This window comes from Homo sapiens, chromosome 11, assembly GCF_000001405.40.
Source record: "Homo sapiens chromosome 11, GRCh38.p14 Primary Assembly".
Classification (NCBI taxonomy): domain Eukaryota; kingdom Metazoa; phylum Chordata; class Mammalia; order Primates; family Hominidae; genus Homo; species Homo sapiens.
The window spans coordinates 120,267,583-120,293,873 of record NC_000011.10 but is presented as its reverse complement, the minus strand read 5'-3'; the positions used below and the strand labels follow the sequence as shown (position 1 = coordinate 120,293,873).

Genomic DNA, 26,291 nt, shown 5'->3' with positions numbered 1-26,291 from the left:
ATCCCAAGGGTAGGAGAGAGAATAGACCATCGGTGACGGAAAAGGTGGTCTTCTGGCCCAGACGTACACTGAGACTTCCTTACTGACCATCTGTTTTGGGTTCATGGAATGGGGCATGGTGAGGCTGGGGTACTCATCTTTAACCCCCTCCCCATGACATTTTCACAGGGCCCTCTCTGGGGGAAGACAGCTCAACACTAATGAATATATCACTGGTGATGAAAATGATCAAAGCTGTTGTCCCAGTTGCATAACTCGTTTGTGGAAAGTGTTTCATAAACATTTCACAAGAAGGAGCGTTTCAAAGCGTGAACATCTCCCAACCTGCCTTCAATTTCAGGCAAGATTTTTTTTTCTTTCTCCCCCTTTCTACACTTCTCCCTAGCAGTGAGGAAGAGTTTCTGTTTTGTAACTGATATATAAAGGATTGGCAAATGAAAACATTTTAAAAATATATTCTAAGTGGTGGAATGGGGCAGATGGGTAACTCCTCTCAAGTGAACAGGGCTGAAAGTACCCCAAGAGATACCGGCTGCATTTTTGCTTGGGGGATTCTCCCATCTCCATGGCTCTTAGCTGTTCCTTAGGAGTCCAAGGCTCCTGCCTCCTCAGATGCCTCTAGGAAGTGCTTGGGGAGATGACCTCATCCAGCCCCTGGACTCTAATCAAACCTACTATATAGCAGCCTAGGTGTGCCTTTGGCCACACAAACTAGGATTATCACCCTGAGAGCATCAAACTTCTACAAAAGGAGGGATGGAAGAGAGGAGACATATGGCTCCTAGGAGGCTGGGACCATGTGGGGTTGCTACTGCTGAAAAGACGCTTTCCAAAAAGCCATCCTTATTTTTCCTGCTTGTGCCTACTCTGGAAATGCAACAATCTTATCAGTCATGTTATTTAATGCTTTGGCTTCAGTTCTTAGGACATAGCATTGCTAGTGCTGACACATGCATGAAAAACCCCTTCATTTTAAGCCCATAAAAGTTTTCTTCTCCCTCTGGAATATAAATCCCCTGAATTCAGTTCTAAAAATGTTGGGAGGGCGCTGTGCCCTCATGGCAGACCCACCCTCACTAATGCTTCATGGTGCCCAGGACTTGAATCATTTTAACCAAAGCACTGCTGCGGAGCCCTCCTGAGACACCTGCAGCATCCTCCCCAGTGGGCAGCTGCACTGATGGGAGTTCTCTTTTGTGAACCTCATCCCCTCTGAGCCAGCATCTGCTCGTTCTTTTGGTGGCCTACCTGGTAGAAAAGAGGACAGAGCTACCCTCTCTGGTTCTTTGACTAGGGAAAAGTACGACACAGAACTTTTGATTTGCCCCCCACAGAAGGCTGTTCTGCCCCTAAATAAGTGAAATGGCAGAAGGAGAGGGTGTGGGAGGCGGGAAGAAATGCTAAGCATCAAACTCTGAGAACTGTTTCCAAGCCCAGTGGCTGTTCTTGGGAAGCATCTAGTGTAGAAATGCAGTTCATCATCACACTTTTTTTTTGTTTTTGTTTTTGTTTTTTTTGTTTTTTAACATATCCCTGGGCTGCTTATCAGGGAAGGACTTTGCTGTCCCCAATGGGGATGATAAAAAAGACATCCAGCAAATAAGCACAAGGCTCAGAATCAATCAGGATCCTGACTTCAGGACCCATCCTTGCCTCCAACTAGTTGCATGACCTAATATTACATTACTTCACTCATCTCTGTAGTCCTAGATTATTCCTCCAAAAAGAAGAGAAATAGACCAGATGAAATCTACTTAAGAAATTCAGGCTGGGCACAGTGGCTCACACATGTAATCCCAGCACTTTGGGAGGCTGAGGTTGGTGGATCACGAGGTCAGGAGATCAAGACCATCCTGGCTAACATGGTGAAACCCCATCTCTACTAAAAATACAATACATTAGCCAGGTGTGGTGGCGGGTGCCTGTAGTCCCAGCTACTCAGGGGGCTGAGGCAGAAGAATGGTGTGAACCCGGGAGGTGGAGCTTGCAGTAAGCCAAGATTGCGCCACTGCACTCCAGCCTGGGCGACAGAGCTAGACTCCATCTCAAAAAAAAAAAAAGAAAAAAGAAAAGAAATTTATAATGTATAAAGAGAGAGTAGGAGTAGACTTATAAGCATGTAAGTATGCTTGCTATGTTACAAGACCCATTTTATAGATGAAAAGACTGAGGCTTAAAGACATTAAGAAATTTGCATAAAGCCACACTGCTGGTAAATAATGAAGCTGAGATTTCAGTCTAAGTTGGTCTGACTCCATATTTCTGTACAATCCTCACTCTCTGTGTGTGTGATGGAATTATAGAATTATAGACTCTTCAAAGTTGTTTGGTGTAGGTTGCACTAGGTGTATGACAGATATTCCAAAATGTGTTGATTGCCTTCCTTCGCCATCAGAACTGGAAGGAAATATAGACATCACCTGGTTCATTTTACAGTATGACTTCTGAAGCCAGAGAAGGAAAATAACTTGCTCAGGGAAACACAGCTAGAGCTACAGTCAAGTTAGTCCTAAAGACCAAGCCAGGGCTGATTAGCACGGATCTGCTAACTCCCTATCCAGTGTCCAGTTCATTCTACTGCACTGCCACGTGTCTCTGTCATCTGTTTTTATCACTCTGAAATTGTTGCCTACTCTGGCTATTGTAATAACTCAGTTGTAGCCCTAATCCTGCTGTTCCCCTACTGAGATTTAGTCGCAGTCAAAAGAAAGAACTCTGAACCCCACTCAGAGTTCTCAATGACTATGCAGGGCAAGGTTCAGAATCAGATAAACACACATCTGTTTGATATGGAAACATAATGCACTTGGCTTTGGAGCCAGCATCCTGTATTTCCTTGAGTCTCACATATACAAAGTAACTACAAGGTGGGATATTTGCTCTTACCTCCCCCATTAGGAGGAGAAGAGGTAAAGAGAGGAAAAAGGTGGCTCAGGAATGTCATGAAATCTCTGTCCTAGTGTGTATTTTACTATGGGGTTCCAGATGAATCCAATAAAAGGAAGTGCACATGCCCTGTCCTGAACGTACACACGCGTGCACGCGCGTGCCCATACACACACACATATACACACCAACTTATGATCGTGAAGCACTACACAGATTAGTTACAGGAGCATTAGCTCAAGAAAGAGAAAAAATATTTTTTAAAGCACTGTAGAGATGAGAAACACTTTCAAATATACCATCATTTATTCTTCTTGATAATTCAATGAGGGAAGTAATCTTACCAAACTGTTTTAACAGATACGGGAACCAAGGCTCAGAGAATTTAAGCAACATTCCCAACATCACACAGCTAGGAAGAGGAGAGCCTGACTCTCTACATGGTTATTTGGCCTCCAGACCCCTCCCTTCTGCCTGTACCATGCTGTGAGGCACCTGCACTGGGCCTCCCACTCAGAATTCTGGGCTTCTGGAAGCTACTGAGAGGTGCTTGTTCACTCCAGCCTCTTCTGTGTACTACATTGCTTTTATGTATGGTGCACAGTTGGGGTAAACATTTCCAGGCTACACTTACAAGTGTAGTCTGGGACTTTACACATATTTGTGGCCCAAATAGTTACTGAGAGTGAAGTTTTCAACAGGTCTGAATGGGAATCTCTTTGGCATTTCCTGAGTAAACCTGTGATTTGGAAGCTTGCCTCTGAAGGGCATTGGATAAATGAAGCAAATGGTTATCTCTGGTAATTTTCATGGTTTAGTCTTCCATGAAGACTGAGGTCTTCCTTGTCTCTTGTACTCCTGTGGCACCCCAAATCAAGTGAGGCAGCCCGAGGTCTGTTTCAACAGCAGCTGGAAAAGGTGGTCTTCTGTGTGGCGTGAATGAAACAGTTTCCTGCCCTATAAAGGTTCCCCTTCCATTTCAGTTTAGTCCAACAAACATTTACCAAGCACCTACTGTATACCAAAAGGCACTAGGGACACAAAGATGAATAGGAAGCCCCCAGGTTAATTGAGAGGCTGTGCAAGTCAGAGTCATCTCCTACAGAGCAGTACTTCTAACATTCAGAAGCAGGTAAGAGGTGGCAAAGAAAAGGCTGCCATTCGCTTTGTCAGGGAGGAGAATAGCTAGAGAAAAGGGAATGAGATGAAGAAGGCTCTCGGAAGAAAAGTCCTTCTAAGCAACCCTGAAGGATGAAGAAAAGTTTGCCAGGCAGCAAAAGCAAAGAAAGCCATCCCAGGAAGCGGAAGTGGAAGAAGCGGAAGTGGAAGAAGCGGCTCTGTCCAAAGTCGCAGAGGGTGAAACGGGGCTTTCTCTTCCTGTTCAGGATCTACCAGCAATTTGGGACTGCTGCTGTAGGGGAGGGAGAGGACAGGCGGGTGAGCAGGCAGGGGCCCATGGCAGAAGACAAAAGAGTTCAGAAGGGACTCTGAGGGCATGGTGGAACTAAAGTAAAGGGGAGCGATTGCAGTGAGATTTTAGTTTTAGTTCAGTTATCCTAACAGCCCTGTGGAATATGGATTTGAAGAGAGCATGACTGTAGCGAGGGTAGCCGGTTAAAAAGCTATTTACCGCAATTGCCTAAGTAAGAACTCAAGAAGATGAGCCTAAGGCCCAAACAGCGCAGACTGGAGAGCTTTTAGAATATAAAATGTATTTCCACCCCTAAAGGTTTCTCTTTTTTAACAAAGGGCTGTTTATTTCAGGAATTGTCTGTTGAATGCTTCCAGGACCAGAACTAGCACAGAAAAAAATCTGAAGGTCCCTAAGCCAAACTGCTAATCACAGATGCAGCAGAGAGCATTTGGGGTTCTAGAAGGTATCCACTTTCTAAGCCATATATTTCTGCAATGTTTGATTTTTAAAAGCGAATTCTTAGTGTTAGATTAGAGAAGATTAAGATGAAAGTTAGTAAGCATTCAAAACGTCACGTGTCTATATAGAATGTTACAGTTCACAAGATGACAAAGTTAGCTGTAGAGCTGCTTCTTTTGCCTGTGAAAAAGGTGTCTTGAGAGGTTTAAAGGTACATTATCTAAATGAACAGACATACACCCATATATGAAAATATGCACATGTATGTATTACATACATGTACATATGTAATACATACATGTGCGTATGTAATACATACATGTGCGTATGTATATATTTAAAGCAACTACTTGGAATTGATCTCTTTGTCCACATTTTGTGTCACTGTCTCGCAGTAGGCAACACCAGGGGTGTGGCCCACAGACCTCACTTGTACATCTCCATGATGTTCTGCAGTTTACAAAGCACTTTCAAACACATTTCTGTTGATTTTCAGAATACTTTCATGAGATTGAAAAGGTAGATAATGTTATTCCTGCTTGTGGAAAACAGGGTCATAAACGGTGAGAGATTTGTCCAAGGCACATGTTGGCTAGCAGGAGAGCTGTGACTTGAACTCAAGTCATCTAAAATTCAGCGTACCTTTCAAATGCCTAGGATTTTCTCAGGAATCCTTCCTAAAGAAGTGGATTTTCAGTCACAGAAATCTATCTCTTGAAGCTCCAAAGCCTTTTATTTCGGTTTTGGATAGACATTTATTGGTTTCTTTTCGAATAGAGATCTTGCTGAAATGTATCATATACATCCCTATTTTGTCTTAAAGCATACCTGAAAGATAATTTAGTCAATGACTCAGAGTCATAATTTCTAACTTGTTTTAAAAGCAACCATGCCCTCAGGGATACTGATGTGTTTGACCTCTGTTGGCTGTAGTACTGTATGGCCCCAGACTGCCCTTTTTTCTTGTTTTTTTTTTTTTTTTTTTTGGTTTTTTTGTTTGTTTTCTTTCTTTCTTTTCTTTTTTTTCAGCTCTGAGCTCTGCTTTTCCCAGTTTTTTTTTCTTCCTTTCTCACAATCAAGTTTATCTCTGCTTCTGTTGGTATGCTTGCTTCTAGCAATCCCCTATTCCAGCTTGAATTTGCACTTTTATCTGCTAAGGGTTAGAAAAACCACATCATTAAGCTCAGTAGACCATCCCTAAAATAAAAGTTTAAGGCTCTGAGAAAGGGCCTGGCTTGAGGTCTCATTTGCTTCCTTCTTACTGTCAGCTGTCTAAATAGGTTGGCTACTGGCTCTCTGGATAAGTGAGGCAATGCAGCACTGCCATGAAGCTCTCTTTAACACTTGACTTGTGCTTTGGCTTAATTTGTATTAACTAAGTGCCTATCCTGTTACACCTATTAGCTGGGGACAGGGCTCTAGGCACAAGGGTTGGCTGAACCTACTCAATTGACAGTTTAAGATAAATTCTCTAAGGCTAGGGAGCAGCTACCAAATTTGTTACCAAAAGGCTGAGTGGACTTGAGCCAAGGGACTCTACCAGTGTATCTGAGTTTCCCTATGTATAAAAGGGAAATAATCTCTGATACATCCCCAGGTCTCAAGGGTTAGGGCTGAATGTCTAGAAAACCTGTTCCAGGGAGGGCTTTCCTTATTTCTGTCACTAAAATGATTGAAGATATGAATTTTGCACACTTAATACCTGACAGACCTATCTTGCTTACTATGGCCTGCCCAGCACAGTGCATAATGTCCATCACTTAGTAAGTGCTTATTAAACATATGTGGTACTAATGCATAAATACGTTTGACAGTCCTCGCATATAGGAAATTGAGTCTCAGAGAAGTCAAATGATTTCCCAAAGGCCATATAGCTAAGTGGCAGAGCTTGAATCTAGGCCTGACCAAATCCCCCAAATCAACCCTCTTTCCACCATATCATGTGACTTATAAAGTTATGCCAAACTAGGTTCGTTTCCTTTAACATCAGGTTTTTAGAATGGGGGATCAGACAGATACTATCATTGAAATATGTAAATATGTATTTAGGTACTGTCCTGGAGGTCAAGATGAGGTGGTATGGGCTGAGATAGGGTTGATTAACGATGGGTCACTGTCATCTAGGAGGGACATCTCCAATGGTATGCCACAGGACCCTGCTTGTGGTCCACTGTGGCTAAGAATGTTATCAGTAAGATGGATGAAGATGTAGCATGCATACTTATTACATCTCTGCATGAGGAGCAGGGCCAGCTAATACTCTGCGCGGACATCAAGATTCACAAAAAAAAAAGCTCAAACATATAGCAGGAAGGGAAGCAAGTCATAAGATAAAACATAGGAACAAATATAAAAATCCTTTACTTAGAAATATGAAAATTAACTGCACAAGTTGAGACAACAATTTATATGAAAAAAGACTTGAGATGCATTAACTGACTCAAAGAGCGTATAAGTTGACAGTGTGACATAATTACCTTTAAAAAACCCCATAGGATAGGCGGTACTAACAGAAGTAGAGTATCTGAATGGAGGGAGTTTCCTGTACTGGACTGCATTATTCCATGAGGGCAGGCCCCATTACTGCCTTATTTGCAGCTGGCACAAGTAGAAATCAGGGCAAGAGAAAGGCATAGTACCTGCTCAATAAATACAATCAAATAGGTAAATGGATGGCTAGATGAACAAATAGTTACACCGTGCTCTGGCCCGCCTGGATCTCACCTGAGCATTGAGTGTTATGCTGTACACTTGTGGATCTCATACTTAAAGGGAGTGATTGGCAGACCAAAACACATGCATGTAAAGGCAACAAGGCACAAACGAATTCAAGGAGTTCATCACAGCGTTGTAAAATAAAGTATTGGAAGCAACCTAATATCCATCGATTGGGGAATGGAAAAGTAAGATTATGTTAAAACAATAGAACAAGCCAGGTGCAGTGGCTCACGCCTGTAATCCCAGCCCTCTGGTAGGCCGAGGCAGGCAGATCACTTGAGGTCAGGAGTTCGAGACCACCCTGGTCAACATGGCAAAACCCCATCTCTATTAAAAAAAAACAAAAATGAGCTGGGCATGGTGGTGGGCGCCTGTGATCCCAGCTACTGGGGAGGCTGAGACACGAGAATTGTTTGAACCCTGGGGGCGGAGGTTGCAGTGAGCCGAGATAGCACCACTGCACTCCAGCCTGGGTGACAGAGCAAGACTCCGTCTCAGAAAAAAACAGAAAAACCCCCAAACAATAGAACATTATGTGGTCATTAACAAAAATCATATAACTCTCTATGTACTGCCATGAAACAACCTATAAACATTATTTAAAAATTTTAAAAGCCACTAAAGAATATATACGGTATAATTTGTACATATGTGTGTAGGCCACAAAAATTTATACATTTCCATTTGTAATATATATCCAGAGAAAAAGTCTTCCAGACATATATACGCTACCCTGATAAAAGGAGTTACCTCTGGGAAGAGGACTGAGCATGAACAGGGATAAAAATAATCTTCCTTTTTAATCTTTATTATGAAATTTTTTTATAACCGGAAAGTATTCATGTATTAAGTATATAACTGGTTTAAGGAAGGCATTCAGCAGCATAACATATGGAATCGTTTACAGATCCAGGATATTTACACAGAAAAGGGATGATTTCAGGGTGATGACTCTTCTCAAATATTGAAGGGCTGCCATGTGATTGGGACAGACACAGGCCCTGAAACAGAAGCGGGCAGAGTGACCAAGAGAGGTGATGGCGTCTAGCATTTCAACCCACTCAGTCCTGAAGCAGGCTGGTAGCAAGTCTGAAAACCCAGGATGAGTTTTGGCAGAGACTTGGGACCACAGGCCATCTGACAGGGGTGTCAGCAGAATTGGTATATGAGGCATAGGTCGTACTGGAATCACTCTTTCTTAGGCTTTTGAGGCTCATGATTAGTAAACATTTCTTTTTTTAGAGTCAGATACAGTTGTTTTATTTTGCCAAATAAGAATAGTAAAGTAACTAACATCACCGACTCTGACCTTCGTTTCATTACGTGCACTAAATATTTTAACACCAAAAATGCAAAATCTTGAACGATAAAAATGGAATATATTTAGTTCTGTACACCTGCACTCCATTTCTCCTTTTAAAATTTCACCGCTGAGGGTGAAAGACATTATATTATGAATAAACAAACGTGTCAACACACAGGATTAAAAGGAGGAAGACAGCCTTGTGTCAGAGCAGCGGGGCTCTGTGGGATGCTGCTGAGAACAGGGGACAGACGGCCTCAAGGACCCATTAGCCCTAAAAGTCTGTGAGTTTCACACTCACCCCGGGGCTAAAGGCTCAACACAAATTTATCTCCACAGTTTATGAAAAATAATGTTACAGTGATGTCATGTGTCACTGGATGTCCCCAACCACACTGTTTCCATTCAAATGGCCAGGAGAGGCAGCCCCAGGATGGCCACGTTACTTCCTAAGGGGCGTTTAGTAAGAGCCCTGTTCTGGCTTGGGATAATTAGCTGATCTAACTACAAACCTCAAACTGGGTTGGTCAGAGTCCTGCACACACTCCGGGTCCCTAGAGGCTAGGCCCTAGCACCCAACAACCACCAAGCCAACACTGAGATGCCTCTGTAAATAGCTCCCGGGCCCAGCCGGCAAGTGGTAGGGTTAGGCAATATTTACCAGAGCTGACTGGATGGAGCCCACTCCACACTCTATTTGCATAAAGCCAACAAGTTCACCTTCCTGGGAAAAGGGGGCAGGTTTTGTGGATCACTGGATGCAAGAAAAGACAACAGGGAGCAAAGCAGCCACAAGAGCAGAGGAGATGGGCATTCGTGGCCCCCAGGAAGCGGGGTGATAGGCAGGTGGAGAGGTTCAGCCCAATAATCCAACCGTGCATTTATTTACTTACTTAATTTATGTATTTATTTTTGAGATGGAGTCTTGCTCTTGTCACCCAGACTGGAGTGCCATGGTGAGATCTCAGCTCACTGCAATCTCCGCCTCCCAGGTTCAAGTGATTCTCCTGCCTCAGCCTCCCAAGTAGCTGGGATTACAGGTGCGCACCACCGTGCCCCACTAATTTTTTGTATTTTTAGTAGAGATGGGGTTTTACCATGTTGGCCAGGCTGGTCTCAAACTCCTGACCTCAAGTGATCCGCTTGCCTCCATGCATTTATTTAGAACACACTTACTGAATGCACCAGTAACTGAACCGCACAGGCACTGTTCTACCATAAATATGATACAGACCCTTTTCCCAAATATTCCACTGACTGGTGGGCAGGGCAGACACACACACACACACACACACACACACACACACACACACACACACACGAAGCCTATTAAGGCACACAGGTGGAGGTAGTGGAGGGGGTAAGTTGGAGAATGAGGCATTTGAACTGAGTTTGGAAAGATGAACAGGAACCTGAGAATGAGATGGGAAGTGGGGAGAAGGGAGTGGGTGGGGGCAGGCTAGGGTCAGGGCTCATGCAAACCAGAATCAAGATGCCTACTTCTCTGTTCCTCTCTGCTTTCGGGAGCTTCCATCATTCCAGACAGGATTCTCGTTGCTTCCCAGGTGGTACTTGGAAGTCTTTAGGGCCCAGGGAAGGAGGGGAACTGGAGGCCTCTTATGCACTTGGACTCCCCAGATCCTCAGAGGCCTGCCTGAGCAGGACGGGGCAGCCCACTGGATGCTGCTGGGTTGCCACATCCTGGACAAAGTCACAAACCCCAGATGCTGCTGCTCCATACCTTGCTTTATGCCAGAAAAGCACCTGTCTCTCCCAGGTCACGTGGGCAAGTGCAGCCTCTACACAGTCTGGGGAGTGCCCTAAATAGCCAGAAAGCTGCCCTCTTCCAAGCTGACAGGCCATCCTTAAGGGAGGCACCAAATCCTCAGAAAGGAAGTTGGTTCTGGTTCATGTCAGACACCTAGGGAGGGACTCCTTGTCTTCAGGCAGCTTCACTGCTTCCTCCTCCCAGACAGAGTGGTTAGCCTTCTCTGGCTTGGCAGCTCTCGCCTTAGAGTCCAAGTCCAGCTTGATCACTCTTCTCAGCCACACTTGCAAAAGTCCCAGCCCAGAGCTAGGAGCACAGCTCTCCACCATTGGCCTCTGCAGGAACCCATGTTTACTGCCAGTGACTGGGTATCCAAATCTTCCTAGGCTCAGTTTGCCAGCTACATAAGTGGCCCGCAAAACCCACTTCCAAGCCCTCAGATGAAACCATCCACAGTGATGGCCTAGGTTAAGTTTTAAAAAATTTCTTGTTAGGATCACACACTGTGAGATGTCATCAAGGGGGAAAATATAAACATAAAAATCTTAATGTATAACTTGCTTTAAGCAAAGCCTATAGATGATATTTGGCTCTAACTGACCATAAAAATTCATTCTTTGATCTCTGAAAATATTCAGTCTAATATTTCTCTTTTTTTTGTTTGTTTCTTTTTTGAGACCGAGTCTCTGTCACCCAGGCTGGAGTGCAGTGGTGCTATCTTGACTCACTGCAAGCTCTGCCTCTCAGGTTCAAGTGATTCTTGTGCCTTAGCCTCCAGAATAGCTGGGATTACAGGTGCCCGCCACCATGCCTGGCTAGTTTTTATGTTTTTAGTAGAGACAGGGTTTCGCCATGTTGGCCAGCCTGGTCTTGAACTCCTAGCCTCAAGTGATCCGCCAGCCTCAGCCTCTCAAAGTGCTGGGATTACAGGCATGAGCCACTGTGACCAGCCTAATATTTCTTTAAACACAGATTCTCTGGTGAAGGAAAATAATATTTCATTGATGAAACTTTGATTTGTATACAACATTTCAAAAACCACCCTGTTAGGTATAGTGAGGCATGCCTGTGTTTGCCTGGCCCAGACTGAGTGCATAGCCCAGACCGAAAGCATGGCTTTCTTATGACTGCTTTAGTAATGACTGAGTGAAGCACCAGGGCACAGGTAAGAACACTCAGAAGAAGGCCAGCAGTTGGGGGAATCTGAGAAGCACTGTCATCTGGAAACGGAGGAACCAGAGGTCTTCAGAGCCTTCCAAGGGCAAAGCTAAGAAGAAGGGGTGAACTGGAGCCACATGGATATGAAATGGGGCAACTGGAACCAACATTGCTGCTAAATTGTTGCAATGGGAATAACAACAACTCACAGTTATTGAGTGTCTACTGTGTCCAAGACACTTTACACTCAAGATTCATTGAATCCTCCTCCTAACAGCATTATAAGGTTGATCCTATTTTTCCTCCCATTGAACAGAGAGGAAACTGACACTTGGAGAGCATAAGTCACCAGGTTACACAGATTGTGTTGGTGGAGCCAAGATTCAAAGCCAGGTCTGTGTAATGCCAGAGCTCGATCTGCAACCACACTGTCTGCTACAGGACTGGAACCAGGGACACCCCACAGCAGTCCGTGCTGATGAAGTATACGGGAGGAAATATGAGTAGATGCCAGCGCAGGGGAGGGGCTGCCAAGAAAGAAAAGCACAGCAGGATGTGAACTAAGTTATCTTCAGCATTTGGGAGCCAAGAGGGCTTTGGTGGAAAAGGGAGGGAAGTCTCAACACTTGATCTGAACACAAGCAGCAGAGGTCAAGGAGGGTATGGGGGCCATGAAGGCAGCGGTGATCAGTGGGACAAGCTGGATTTGGAGATAACAGACCTGTAGTGAGCACAGCCCCTGTGATCCAGCAGTCACAGAGAAAAGGGAATGGAGTAAGTCCTGGCTCTGCTACTGAGTTGCAGGCCAGTCAACCGTTTGGGCCTCAGTTATCTTCTTTGTTAAATGAGAGCACTAACACCCCCTTGACACAGTTCTTGTGAGTGGAAAAAAACCTATTGGCTTAGAGAAGCCCTCTGGAAGTTGTCAAGCAGAGAGGGACATAAAACTCGCTGTGACCTGGTATCAGGTAGGAAGTGTACAGGGACACAGAAACAGCACCTGAGCCCCAGGGTGGCCTCCAAAGCCGCTTAAGGGTCAGACTAGGGGGAAGGAAGCTTTAAGGTGGAAAAAGTTTATTTTTAGCCAAGGCTATGATTCTGGGAGAAGACGACTCTCTGGTTGGTTACAAGAGCTGCAGGCAGAGCCCTCTTTGACTTGGGGGCAAAGAGAAAGCCAGGGCCCGCCCCCTCCCTGCAGGCACACACAGGCAAACACTGCCTCTTCCCTGGACCCTTCTCACGCACAGGCCCAGGGAGGCGGCTTCTCGAAGGGCCAGGGGAACCCTCTTTGGGTGGGAACACTTCTCCACCCCACCCTTTACCTGGCAACCCTCCCTGAGCCTGCAGATACTATCTCTACCATCTCTGCTGGCAAGCCTCAGCCAGAAGAGGTCTGCGGGTGTTGGTATGACTGACAGGGCTTTGGAAACATGGAAAAGTACTGGACACATGTCAAGTGAGGGGCTCTGGGTAACATTAGGTCATGTCTCATTTGCAGGAGTGCACACACACAAACACACTCTCTCTCTCTCTCTTTTTCTCTCTCTCTCTCTGTCTGTCCTCTTTCTCTCAAAAGCAGCCTGGTATGGTAGAAAGTCAGACAGGCCTGTCTTACATCTGAGCTCCACCTTGGGCAAGTTACTTAACCTCTCTGAGCTACAGTTTCCCCAGCTTTATAATGGGAAGAATAATGCTTACCTCACCAGGCTGTTGTAAGGATTAATTAGGTAATCTCAAGTAAGATATCACCTATGTAAAGTGCCTGGCACAGCACTTCAACTTTGGTTTGAATTCTGGCTCTAAGCAGGTTGCTTGACCTCTCCTAGCCTCAGTTTCTTCATCTTTAAAATGGAAATATAAAATCTACTGCTCTGGGTGGCTATAGGTTTAAATGAGATACTGCTTGCAAAGCACTCAACCCACTGCCTGTTATAAACTGAAGGTTCAATAAATAGTATTAACTTCCCCTGTTATTGTTTGGGGCTAAATCCAGCTTCCCTTTCAAAAGCCTTGCTCCAAAGAGACGCCTGCTTGAAAAAGGGAAGGCCTGGCCCTGCTTTTAGTGTCATCAGTGTCTGCATCCACCAAAGGCAACTCACTGAAATCTCCAGAGAGAAGCCACTTTTTGGCTCCTGCACAATCAGGTGAAGGACCCCTACCTTCTTCTCCCTCCTTCATTCTCACTGTTCTCCACCCAACACCTGAGCCAAGACGAGCATTCGGTCTCCGCTACCCATCCAGAATGCATGCAGAGCTCATGCCAGTGCTGGAGCCGGAATCAGCTAGGCCCAAACCCCATGCTGCAGAGGGGCTTTTTGGTGGTGTTTGGGGCTGTCTGGTAGACCAGCAAGTACTAGGCACAGGCTTCTGGAGAACTCAGACAGCTGTTCCTGTTCCTCTGTGCTGTTCATTATGGGGCTTGCCACAGGGCTTGGTCCACCCAGTACTGGGGCTGCTGCCCAGGCTACAAACAGGAAACAGTTGACACCTGAGCCTCAGGCCAAAGCACCAAGCATGGCTGGCAAAAGAGGACAAATTCCCACCTCTCCAAAAACAAACACGTTTACCAACTGCTTCCCCGCCCACGCTTGCAGAGGGCGGTGGGGCTGAGATTGGGAGATGATGGATTCCAGAAAAAAATTACCTCTCTAATAGCATCTGCAGCCCTCCAACCTGGTGCAAGCCCAGCTAAGTAACCACACAGGGAGAAGGGTGGTGGAGAAAATGATGGGTTCTTATTCATCAGAAAATAATAAGAGCTAATGTTTATTGGTGCGTTATTGTATACCAGACATTATTCGAAGTACTTTATAGATCTTAACTCTATTCATTCTTACGCCATCCCTAGGAAATAGATACTCTTACTGTTCTCATCTTCACATGAGGAATCAGAGGCGCAGAGGAGTTGACCAATACAGACAATATGACCCAACCACCATATCACACGGCCTCCTCCCGAGACAAGCAGGCAGTGGTGGGGGGAGAACCACAGAGTCGGGAGTCTGGCAAGCCTGTCTTTAAATACAGACTTCTCTGTGAACAGTGTTATGATGGGAAAATTCCCTAACCTCTCAGTGCCTCAGTTTTCCCATCTATGGAATAGGAATGATGACAACTACTTCACAGGGTTGCTAAACCCTTTTATACTCAATGCCCGGCATACAGTCAGAGTTCAAGAAATGCTATAATTATTATAGTATCTTGACTACAATGGGGACATCACTTTGGAGAAGGGAGTTATTTAATCTTTTTTTATATATACTTTAAGTTCTGGGATACATGTGCAGAATGTGCAGGTTTGTTACATAGGTATACACGTGCCATGATGGTTTGCTGCACCCATCAACCCGTCATTTTATCAGGTATTTCTTCTAATGCTATCCTTCCCCTTGCCCTCCACCCCCTGACAGGCCCTTGTGTCCATGGAGAGTTATTTAATCTTGCCAATTATCTCCTGCCTGAACATTCTGCTCCATATCCACCTAATCACTCAGTCAGCGCAGCTCATTCCCTGTGGGGGTGGCGCTGGTTTACACACCCCTTGCTCTGACATTTTTAGGAATTTTTCAGACCCATCTCCCTCACTGGATAAACAGCAAGTAAGTTCTCTGAGGGCAGAGGCTGTATGCATTCTTTCTGGGGGCGCCTTTTCCTGGTGTTGTATTTCTATGTGGAAAGTCTCCAGCCAGTCACATCTGGCTCTGTCTCCTGGTAAGAGAAGTGACTTATCCCCTTGGTGGGTCAAGGTCACTCGTTCTCACTGGGGATCACAGCTACCCCGGGAGATGTTTTCTGAAATCTGTGGCGTGGTTTCTCTGGCTGTCTTAATAATTAGGAGGCGTGGTTTGCATTTATTGGGCTGAGGGCAGGTACTCTAGACATCTTGCGCTGTAGAAGACAGTATCAAATAAACACTTCTTTGCATCCCATACAACTTTTTATATGACTTCCAAGTGCCCCACCGGACATCTGTGTCGGTGAACAGCCTGACTATAATCATATAAGCCCAAAACCCAACTCTATTTTTTATGTGAACACAAAGTATCTTTTACACACTCTTAATATGCATTTTACCCAGGGATGCCATTTTCTGTGTTAATTGAGGAAGTATTAGATTTGGCTGGAGCTTTACAAAGAGTTGTTTAACACTTTGAAAGATTGTGGCTTTTGAGCAGCCAGGATAGCATACCAATATCAGCCTGTACTTGTGTCTGTCACACTCATAGAGGCATGAGGGACCTACTGTCTCATTAAACCTTTTAGGGGAATATGTCTAAGGATATACCTGCTGAAATACACATTGTTTTATAAATTACTTTGCTTTTTCCTTTTTATTCAAATTAGACAATATTACTGATTTTTATTTGTATATCTGTTTTTTCTTTTTTGTAACGGAGTCTCGCTGCTGCCCATGCTGGAGTGCAGTGGTGTGATCTCAGCTCACTGCAACCTCCGCCTCCCGGATTCAAGTGATTCTTGTGCCTCACCCTCCTGAGTAGCTGGGTCTACAGGCATAAGCCACTGCGCCCGGCTAATTTTTTTTTTTGCAATTTTAGTAGAGATGGGGTTTTACCACGTTGGCCAGGCTGGTCTGGAACTCCTGACCTCAGGTGACCCACCTGCCTCAGCCTCCCAAAGTGCTGGGATTACAGGCGTGAGGCACCGCACCTGGCCTATGTTTTCTATAAATTTCACTCTAAGATATTAAAGGGGTTTTACAGGAGCCTCATTACAAGAGACACTGGATCTGATAAAACTGAGAACATCAGGGTTAGAAGGAGGTGGAGGGTGTGGCTTGGTCCCATATGGGCCTTCTGTCCAGATCTGCCTGTTGACTAGGAGGGTGCTTTTTAAAATTTTTTTATTTTTTATTTTTTGAGACAGAGTCTGGCTCTATCACCCAGGCTGGAGTGCAGTGGCACGATCTCGGCTCACTGTAACCTCTGCCTCCTGGGTTCAAGTGATTTTCCTGCCTCAGCCTCCCAAGTAGCTGGGATTACAGGCGTGCACCACCATGCCCGGCTAAACTTTTTTGGATTTTTAGTAGCTAATTTTTTTGTATTTTGTATTTTTAATATTTTTTTGTATTTTTGTATTTTTAGTATTTTTATTTTTGTATTTTGTATTTTTGTATTTTTTAGTAAAAAATGCATATTTTTGTAATTTTGTATTTTGTATTTTTTATAGAGGTGGGGTTTCACCATGTTGGCCAGGCTGGTCTTGAACTCCTGACCTCAGGTGATCCACCCACCTCGGCCTCCCAAAGTGCTAGGATTTCAGGTGTGAGCCACTGCACCCGGCCAGGAGGGTGCTTTCAGGTCTGTTTTCTGCCGGCTCTATCTGTGCCTAGTGGATGTGTTTAATTCTGCAGTGAGGTCTTAGAAAGCCTGTTGTGGCCAGGCATCAAAACCGTATCTCCAACATAGCTCTATCTGTCAGGCTCCTGCATTTAAATTTCTGCTTTGACATTTTGGAGGGGAGAGAGAGGTTATTATAGACTGACCCTGAAAACCCAGCTGTACTGCTTAGGGTTGAGCAAAATGTGGTTTGTTGGCTCCTCATCCTCTTCTCTTTCTTAGCCTGCCCCGCCCTGCCCTGCCCCACCACCCCCAAATCCTGTGTCCACCAGGAAGTACAGGACTGGAGGCTGGATCCTGGAACAGAAGCAAGCAATCCTCAGGGGAACAAGAGTCTTTCAGCCCTCAGTTCTCATCCTCCCAAAGAGGTCTCGGAGCCTCCCTCCATTGGACCCACTACCCTGAGGCTCTATTCTCCTGGCATGGCTTTCTTAGGCCCTCTGAACCAGCCCCACTGACCTCCCTCTCTGCGGCAGACCCTACATCTTCCCCACTGGGCTGGGAGCTCCTGTGGGCAGGGACCATGATGTACTCTTCTGTGTCTTCCTAATAGTCAGCTAAGTGCAGGTTTGTGGAACTAAACAATCCAACATGGCCTATTCATTCCCTCCCTTGCTCTCTCAGGCTCAGTGGCTTTGGTGCTTGCTGTCCTGAGGCTGCTCCTGGTTGTGGGGGGGCACTTACTCTGCCATCACCACGGACCCTCCGTTGCCAACTCCAGGGCCTGGCACTGCTGCCCCTGCATTTCCCTCACTGGCCTCCCTGAAGAAACCTCTCCATCATTCTGGGTCCTTGGAGACCTTTCCGTACCTGAATCTTGTTGATTTTAAAGAAGATGCCCCAACGAGCCAATTAATTACAAGTCAATTTGTACTCGGAGCAGCTAGAGAACCGTGGTAGTTGGTTGGTCACATTCAACAAAACAATGATGGAAAATCCCAGTTGGTTTAAAACTAAATGCTACACTAGGGCACACCAGGGCAACTCCTCAGGACGAGCTGGCGCAGGTGTCCAGAAACAGGCATGGGAGAGCCATTGGTGCAGGTGAGCTTAGAATGCTGCCAAGTGTGGGGCTGAGAGGAAACCCCAGGCCACTGATTCTCAGCTTTTGGGGCAGGAAACGTGGGACAAGGACAGCTGCCAACTTGCTTCAGACTCTCTTCTGGCCTCACAGGACTTTTGGGAGGTCTTCAAGCAACACAATGCTCAACAGCATACATAAAACACTGTCCTGATCTGCCTGGTGGAAATCCATGGCCCTGGAAGATGAGGGTTCCAGAAGTTACCGGAACAGAGCAGGTGTGAGGCCACCTACGTATGCAGTTGTCATTTTGGAACCCCCAAGCCCCTTTAATCCAATTCTACCTCCCAGTTTTCTTCTGAAGTTAGCTGGTGGCCCAAAGAGCAGGAAATGGAGTGGAGAGACTCCAGGCAAGGACAGCTGTGCCCTGGGCTCCTGAACACAACTGCCAGGGCACTCAACCCTCCTTCCCTCTCAGAAGAGCCCTCCACTGGGGTCCTCCCACTGCCACCACCAGATCCCTCTTTCCTTTCTCCTGCACTGCCTTTCCTAGCTTTCCCAGGCCACACTCACTCAAGTCCCCTTCCTCCACAAAAGCCTTCTTTTCACACTGCCTCCATCTTAAGCCAAACACCTCCATCTCTTTATCACCCTATTCCTCGAAAGGGAATTCTACAGTCCAAGTCTCCATCATTTCCTTGACTCCTACTCACCCCTCAGTGGCAGCAAGCTTGACATCCACTCTCACTGTGGACCAGACAGACACCAGGCAGAGGCTATCCTTGCCTGCCTGACTTCCAAGTTCCTAGCCAACTTTTAGGCTTCAGACTCTACTGTATTGCTCCGTATGCTCTGATGCTGTTGGTTTTCCCCACCTTCATGAACATCTCTCCTTTGTGAGCATGGCTCCCCTCCTGTCCCTTTGACCTTCCTTCCTAGTTTCATCTATAGACATCCACTCCTCAGCCTGTCCCTTAAGTGCCCTTCTCCAGGTCTGTCCTTGGTCCTCTTCCCACTCTGCACATCCTCCCCAGGTAATCCCATTCCCTCTCATCACTCCATGTAATATGATCCAGTGGCAACTCCCCAATATGCATCTTCAGTCCTGCCTGTCTCCTGGGCTCCAGATCCAAATTTCTTGCCATGCATTGGGCTCCCAAAGCTCATTCTCTGCCCCTCCTTCTCCTCCCATCATCTGGATAAGTTTGTTCCACCTCCTGTCTTCTTGATGATAGGTTGTGGTTCCACCAATGTTCAGCATCTCAAGCTAGAATTCTCAGCCATGTTTAACTCATCCCTCTTCTTTGCTGTCCATGCCCAACCTGTCGCCAAAATCTTCCTGATCTTATCTCAGAATTATCTCTTAAAGCTGGGTCTCTCCATGCCTACTGAAATAGTAATAATAATAGCACATATACAGTGTATATGTTCAAGATACTTGTCTAAGAGTTAGCTACATATCATTTGACCCTCACAATAACCCCGTGAGACAGATATCACTATTCTCCCCACTTTATAGATGGGAAGATTGAGGCACATGGAGATTGGAGAACTTGCCCAAGGTCACATGGTCAGGTAGTGCTGGAGCTAGGATTCACAGCCAGGCAGCCAGGCTCTATGTTTGTGTGCATTTCCTTCCTTCCTTCCTTCCTTCCTTCCTTCCTTCCTTCCTTCCTTCCTTTCTTCCTTCCTTCCTTCCTTTCTTTCTCTCTTTTTCTTTCTTTCTCTCTTTCTTTCTTTCCTTTCTCTCTCTCTCTTTTTTTTCTTTTTTTGAGACAGAGTCTCGCTTTGTCATCCAGGCTGGAGTGCAGTGGCATGATCTCAGTTCACTGCCACCTCCACCTCCCAGGTTCAAGCGATTCTCCCTGCCTCAGCCTCCTGAGTAGCTGGGATTACAGGCACCTGCCACCACACCCAGCTAATTTTTGTATTTTTTAGTAGAGATGGTGTTTCGCCATGCTGACCAGGCTGGTCTTGAACTCCTGACCTCAGGTGATCCACCCACCTAGGCCTCCCTAAGTGTTGGGATTACAGATATGAGCCACTGCGCCTGGCCTGTGTGCATAACTTTCATGCTCTGTCTGTATCCTTCACATTTCTGGCTACAGCAGCATTCCACTGGGCCTCTCTTGCATCAGTTCATCACTCATCCTCCCTTCCCTTCTCACCCACACTCCCCTCCAATGCTCTTCTAGTAAATGAAACTAGTCATGCTTGAGAACACCTAGTAGCGCCTTACTGCCCACAGAATAAGCCCCAGACTTCTTTGCTAGGCATTCAACATCTTCATAGCCTGGCCTAACCCAGCAAGGGAGACAACTCACTATCCCCTAGGCCTGGAATATTCCTGCCAACCCTCTCTGCTAGTCAAAGCCCTACTCTTCCCTCACCACCCACTTCAGACACCATCTCTTCTGTAATATCCTTAGGTAGAGCTTAGCATTCTCATGTCTCTCACAGAATTCACTATGCATCGTTGCAGTTTATCTTCTTACAACAGACACCTCTCTATCCAGCACTTAAGAATGGCTGCATATTCAAAGGTTGAATGGATGGTCCTAGATCCAGCCTACTGGGTCCTTCTGTTTCACCCTCTAGATTTCAAATGATTCTTTTCGCTGGCTCACACACAATCATAAAGGCTGGAAAAATTCCATGTGACATATTTCCCCTCACTCTCTACAGCTCAAGGGTGACTTTCTTCCTGATTTCTCTTCAATGGACAAATAAAATAAAATGGAAGTCGAGTGGAAGTCAGATTCCAACTAACCAGCCAAATTATGGCAAGAGATAAGTAATGACACCGTAACATGAAGACTGTTTGGGGCCTCAGACAGCATCTCAGCCAAGCTTTTCCAGTTTATTTGTCAGGAAACAGAACCCCAGAAAGAAGAGGTTTGTATAAGGCAGCAACTAGTGAGGGACAGACAGCACTGGAACCCAGGACTTCTGAGTCCCTATCCAGGGCCTTAGCCTGTTGCCTCTCAAGTCTATCTTATCTGTCCTGGGGATGGAGGGTTGGCCTTGCTTCTGGGTCCCTTGACCTTCCCACCCTTTTCCCCCAGACAGACTCAGTCTGCCTTCCTGGGACCAGGAAGTTAACAGGCTCAGTGTGGAAACTTCCCGATGAGCCATGAGCATTCGTTGCTCATGCAACTTCAGGACTGTGGTTCACCCAGAATCTGGCTGCACCAACTGGCCTGGGGCCTTGCAACAGGAGCTTCACCCAGGGCAGTGGCTCTTTCTCTGCTCCCCTGTTTCTGCCAACCCCTTGTCTGTGTCAGATGCAGAGGCTGCTCCTACACAACCATTCTTTCTTCCCCTCCCTACTCCTTCTACCTCCCATTTCCTCCCAGTTAGTCATGGTGAGGTCACACTCAATCTCTGGCTCCCAGGCCTCTCCCCAGGGATGGTGTGTGGATACAGGGAGCAGGGCAGGTGCAGCAAGGCCTCATGGGAAAAATGGGCTCTGGAGTCAAAGAGATATGGGTTCAAATCCTGGCTCAGCCTGTCAACCAATTGTGTGAACTTCATCAGGTTATTTAATCTCTCAAATCCTTCTCTGAAAAAGGCGGGGCTGCCTGGGAGGCAGTTTTCTCACTTATGAAATGAGGATCGTATCACCTACCTCATTGGTTTAGAGTGAGAATTAAAGGAGATACAGTGCCAGAAGCGCCTTGCCCCGAGCCTGGCGGTTAGCAAGTTTTAGTTTGCTTCCCTTGCTGTGAAGTGTGAGAGTGTGACCCTCAAGCAGGGGCCTGGGAAGTCCTGGGTGCCCACCCACTGACCTGCAGGTGAGCTGGTGTGAGTGTGAGCGGAGGAGAGCTCCAGCCTGAGTGTGTAAATGAACGTGACCGGGCAGAGTGTCTCTTCCTCCAAAATTCCCTCCACCCTCTTTAAAGGAAAGATCTGTCGTGTCTGTTCTTGTCAGTGATGAGAATCCAAACCCCTCCCAGAAGAGGGAGGGGACAACTCACCCCACAAGGCTCATCCAAGGGAAACAAACTCCAGCAAGGCCCACTCCCAGCAGCAGCCACCGTGTGGGGAAACCATACTACAAAGATGTTCCAAGGGTCAGGGGCCTCCCAGGGTCAGAGGGGCTGCCCTCATCCTTCTCTCCAGCACTAGTGTGTCTCAAGCTTCCAACAAATCACATGGGCCGCCAAGCCCATGGGGCCTGTGAAGCTGGCCACCTCCCCGCAAGGCTGGCCTTGCCATGTCTCGGTATGGAAGAGGCTCCTCCCCGTGCATCTTGTCCCAAGGGGCTGGGGCCAGGAGAGGTGGGCCCTGGGCTGGGGAAACCTGAGTCCTCAGGGCAGAAAGCACAGGGCCCAAGACACATCCCAACCTGTTTAGGATCAGGATCAGAGAATCCATCAGAATCACAGAATCCTTGGGCATCTCCTCCATTTTCCTGCCCTTGAAGCAAACCTGGCCAAACTATCTCTGAGGTAAGAACCTGTCTCACATTTAAAGACCTTGAGTGAGATGCTGACTCTACAGTTTCCCTCCCCTGGTAGTTTTTAATAAACTGCATTGGCTGGAAGTCCTTCCTCTCTGTAGCTAACTTAGATCTCTCTTTAATTGAAGCCTATCTCTGTTTTAGTTCTCAGGTGTAAAGGGAGGGTAGTTGGCTTTCATTTGTTAGCAAACTCCCCAGCCTTCCTGATGAATAAAACTGCAGAATTTGCCTGCCTAAAAGGTGTTGGCTTAGGACTCAACATTATTCTTCTCTCTGACTGTGAAGAATGTACCCAGAATTAGCAGCCTTTTAGGAAATGTTAATAGTGACTTCAGGCCAGGCACTGTGGGTCACACCTGTAATCCCAGCACTTTGGCAGGCTGAGGAGGGAGGATTGCTTGAGCCCAGGAATTCAAGACCAGTCTGGGCAAGGTGGCAAAACCCCATCTCTACAAAAAATACAGAAAATTAGCCAAGCGTGGTGGTGCATGCCTGTGATCCCAGCTGCTTGGGAGGCTGAGGTGGGAGGATTGGTTGAGCCCCAGAAGTCAAGGCTGCAGTGAGCTGTGATTACACCACTGCACTCCAGCCTAGGCAACAGAGTGATAGCCTGTCTTAAAAACAAAACAGTGACTTCATATCACTCTGCAGATAAAGGAGGAGAAGAACCTATGTCTGCCTTTGATCTCCAGCCCCCATCCTAGACTTCCATCTAGATCTGGACTCAGGATAGCAGAATCTAAGGGAGGAATCCTAGTGATTACCCAATGCAGCCCTTTTCCTTCCTTCTTGCCATCTCCCTTTCTACGTCACTCTTCTCTGACTAAAACTTCCTACTCATCCTTCAGAGACAGACTCAGATATCACCTCACCCATGATGTCTGCTCTGAGCTCCTGGGAAGAATTCAGTGTTCCTATTTCTATTTGATTTTACACTTTTTCCATACCTCTAGTAAAACATAAATGAGGCTGTATTATAATTATTCACTTAAGAGTAAGTCTGTCCCTCTCCCTCTCTCTATAGACATTCCACCCCGTCCTTATACTAGACTTTGAGCTCCTTCAAGGCAGAGACCATGTCCTAATTTTGTGTTCCCATACCTGGCATAGTGCAAGTACTCCCCCACTGCCAAATTTATGGAATAAATTAATTTTTCAGTTGAGAAAACTCAGACCAAAAATATTAAATAACTTGATTAAGGTTATACACCTAGTTAGTGGCAGAAATGGGACGAAAACCCAGGCTTTCTAAGTTTGTGTTTAATTCTTACCCCTCTCCCTCACTCTAGGACTCCCCATTATTGCTCCCTGCTTGGCTCCAGCTTAGCCTTTCTCCTCCCAACAAACTCTCCCACTCCCGCCATCTGCTTCTGACATCACACCCTGTCCTACCTCCCACCCCGCCATCTTCCCATCAGCCTCCAACCTCAAGGGCAAGTCCTCTCCCTCGGCTTCCCCCTTCTCTTTACACATCCACATCCATCTGTCCTGCAATCTTTCCAACACCACCTTCTTCTGCCCAAAGCCCTTCCTAACTAAGTCTAACCTCATTCAACTTGGTTTCCTTGCAAAGCACCAGGCGCATGTCTACATTGCCCCCGAGCCTGGTTACCTGCTCTTTTTTGAGCTCTTTCTGCCTATCTGTTTCCTGTTATGTTCTCTAGCTTCTTCCTTTAAATCAGGAATTCTCTGTGGCAACCCAGGCACCTCATCCTTTGTGGCTGCATAAATTCCTCTGTACACAGTCAATTCATGCAAACACCCACCCAAGAGGCAACTCAGGCTAAGCATTGACAGGAAAAGAGCTCTTGTCTTAGATTTCTGGACCACATCTGGCATAAAGTTTACCCTAAACAGGTGCTCCATTTGTTAGCCCTTTTCTGAGAGAGTACTGAAGAGACCCCAACATTGGCTCATGGGTTAGGGTGGGAGGTTGGGCTCAAGGTCCTTTGATCCTGAAAGGTTGGGGTTTGTGAATAAACACCCCCAAACTGTACTTAATCTTGTCTTCCTCCATACCAGACAGTATAGGTGATGCCCAAATTTTATAGAATAAACGTTTCTTTCTGACCCAAGTTCTTACCTGCCTGTTGAAATCTAGGCCATTTCGATCATTTCCTAGAAAAGATAAAAATATATGTATATTAGTTGGTAGCAGGTTTGGAAGAGCTGAAGGTTAGAAAAAAACTAGGATGTTGAGAGGCGTGTGGCTCTATTTTGAAAAAGAGCACCTGCTTCGCTTGTGGTTGGGATCCTCCTCCTCGACCTGTTTCCTGGAAACGCCTTTGGAAAGTCTCCTCCAGGGTGGTGATAGCTGGGTAAAGGGTCACCTTGGAGGGGAGGCTGAATCGTCTGAGGTCACATAGCAAATCAGAGTCTGTGGGGAGGACAGCTGGCCATGCCAACTGGAGAGCTCACTCCACCGCATGCTTCTATGCCCGGGCTTCCCCCTCAGATGGCAGCTGCTACATCCCTCCAGGGACCAAGGGACCAAGAAGAGACCAGCATGGATCCCAAAGGACTCCCTAGGACAGAAGTCATGCTACTAGCCCAGCCCTCCAGGAGAGATGACACCTAAAGTATGTCAGCTAGACAGCTGTCTTTCTTGTTTTTTCTCACCCTCAACTGTTACCATAAATGTTGGGCTGAAAAAGTAAATATGTGCTTAAAAGAAATGTCTTTTGGTGGCTGGAAACGGTGGCTCATGCCTGTAATCCCAGCACTTTGGGAGGCTGAGGCAGAAGGATCACTTGAGCTCAGGAGTTTGAGCCAGGCTGAGCAACACAGTGAGACCCCATTGCTACTAAAAATACAAAAAAATTAGCCAGGCATAATGGCACATGCCTGTAGTCCCAGCTACTCAGGGGGTGGAGGCAGGAGGATCGCTTGAGCCCAGGAGGTAGAGGCTGCAGTGAGCCCTGATTGTGCCACTGCACTCCAGCCTGGGCAACAGAATGAGACCCTGTCTCAAAATAAATAAATAAATAAATACATAAGAGGAAGAAAAGCAAAGCTTTTTGGTTCAGAAAAAGTCTAAAGTAGTGGAAAAATCACCCTACCGAGAGGACGTCATAATTAATATTTTTGTATATTTTATGATATTATTTATAATTGTTTCTCTTCATGGATATATACCACTCTGTATAGACTTCTATCCCACTTTTTCCAGTGAGCATCATAAATATTTCTCCTATGCTATTAAGGAACATCATAAATGCTTCTATGCTTATAAGTATCATTTTTAATGGTTACATAATATTATATTATATGGATATACCATGATTTGCTTAAACTTATACCTATTGTTAGCAGAGTCATTTTCACTCTTTTGCTATGTGAATAGGAAAATTGCTTTTCCTATTCACATAGCTCTCCAGGACTGGAGCTGCCGCACAACCTTCCTTTGGGTCTCCTGTATTATTGGTTCTATAACAGCAAGGAAAATAATTATTTACTAAATACGGTACCCTCAGAGCCCAGCACTACGCAGCATATGCATATATATTAATATGCATATACAATATGCTATATATATGCATCTATATATTCCTTGGGAGCTGGACAGTGACACCCATTTTTTTTTTGTCCTCAGTGGCCACAAAATGACCACAGTTCCTAACATGGATAAGAGGCTCAAGAAACACCTGAGAGATGAATGAATGGGGTCTAAGAGAATTCCCTGTTTTAACCCCTTTTCCTCAGCTGTGTCCTAAACAACCATGGGCAAGTACAGCCCTTTCCTGTG

The 26,291-nt window shown here is 46.0% G+C and overlaps 1 protein-coding gene and 1 long non-coding RNA gene across 11 annotated transcripts in view, besides 1 other annotated feature; one reads left to right on the top strand and one right to left on the bottom strand.

The window, feature by feature from the left end:
* POU2F3 (POU class 2 homeobox 3) overlaps positions 1-26,291 on the bottom strand; it is an 83,308-nt gene that overhangs the window by 26,072 nt on the left and 30,945 nt on the right. For 6 of the 9 annotated variants that reach the window (NM_001244682.2, XM_011542739.3, XM_011542740.3 and 3 more), the window contains one exon: positions 24,630-24,664. The exons of the other annotated variants lie outside the window; for them this stretch is intronic. In NM_001244682.2, the coding sequence (NP_001231611.1) occupies positions 24,630-24,664 (35 nt within the window). The remainder of the gene's footprint in view (positions 1-24,629; positions 24,665-26,291) is intronic. 9 annotated transcript variants of the gene reach the window in all.
* Positions 4,235-25,159, top strand: LOC105369531 (uncharacterized). 2 transcript variants are annotated; one of them, XR_007062924.1, is made up of 4 exons: positions 4,235-4,323; positions 4,651-4,763; positions 18,238-18,362; positions 25,002-25,159. It is a non-coding gene; the product is annotated as an uncharacterized LOC105369531 (long non-coding RNA). The 2 variants fall into 2 exon arrangements; XR_002957268.2 differs by lacking the exon at positions 25,002-25,159 and having other exon boundaries at positions 18,238-18,589.
* Positions 17,500-17,689: a silencer, noted in NCBI's record as "fragment chr11:120146894-120147083 (GRCh37/hg19 assembly coordinates)". NCBI's record gives its function as "represses an EF-1alpha promoter that drives an FKBP-Casp9 reporter gene in an ReSE screen in HepG2 liver carcinoma cells {active_cell/tissue: HepG2}" and the evidence as "EXISTENCE:reporter gene assay evidence [ECO:0000049][PMID:32094911]".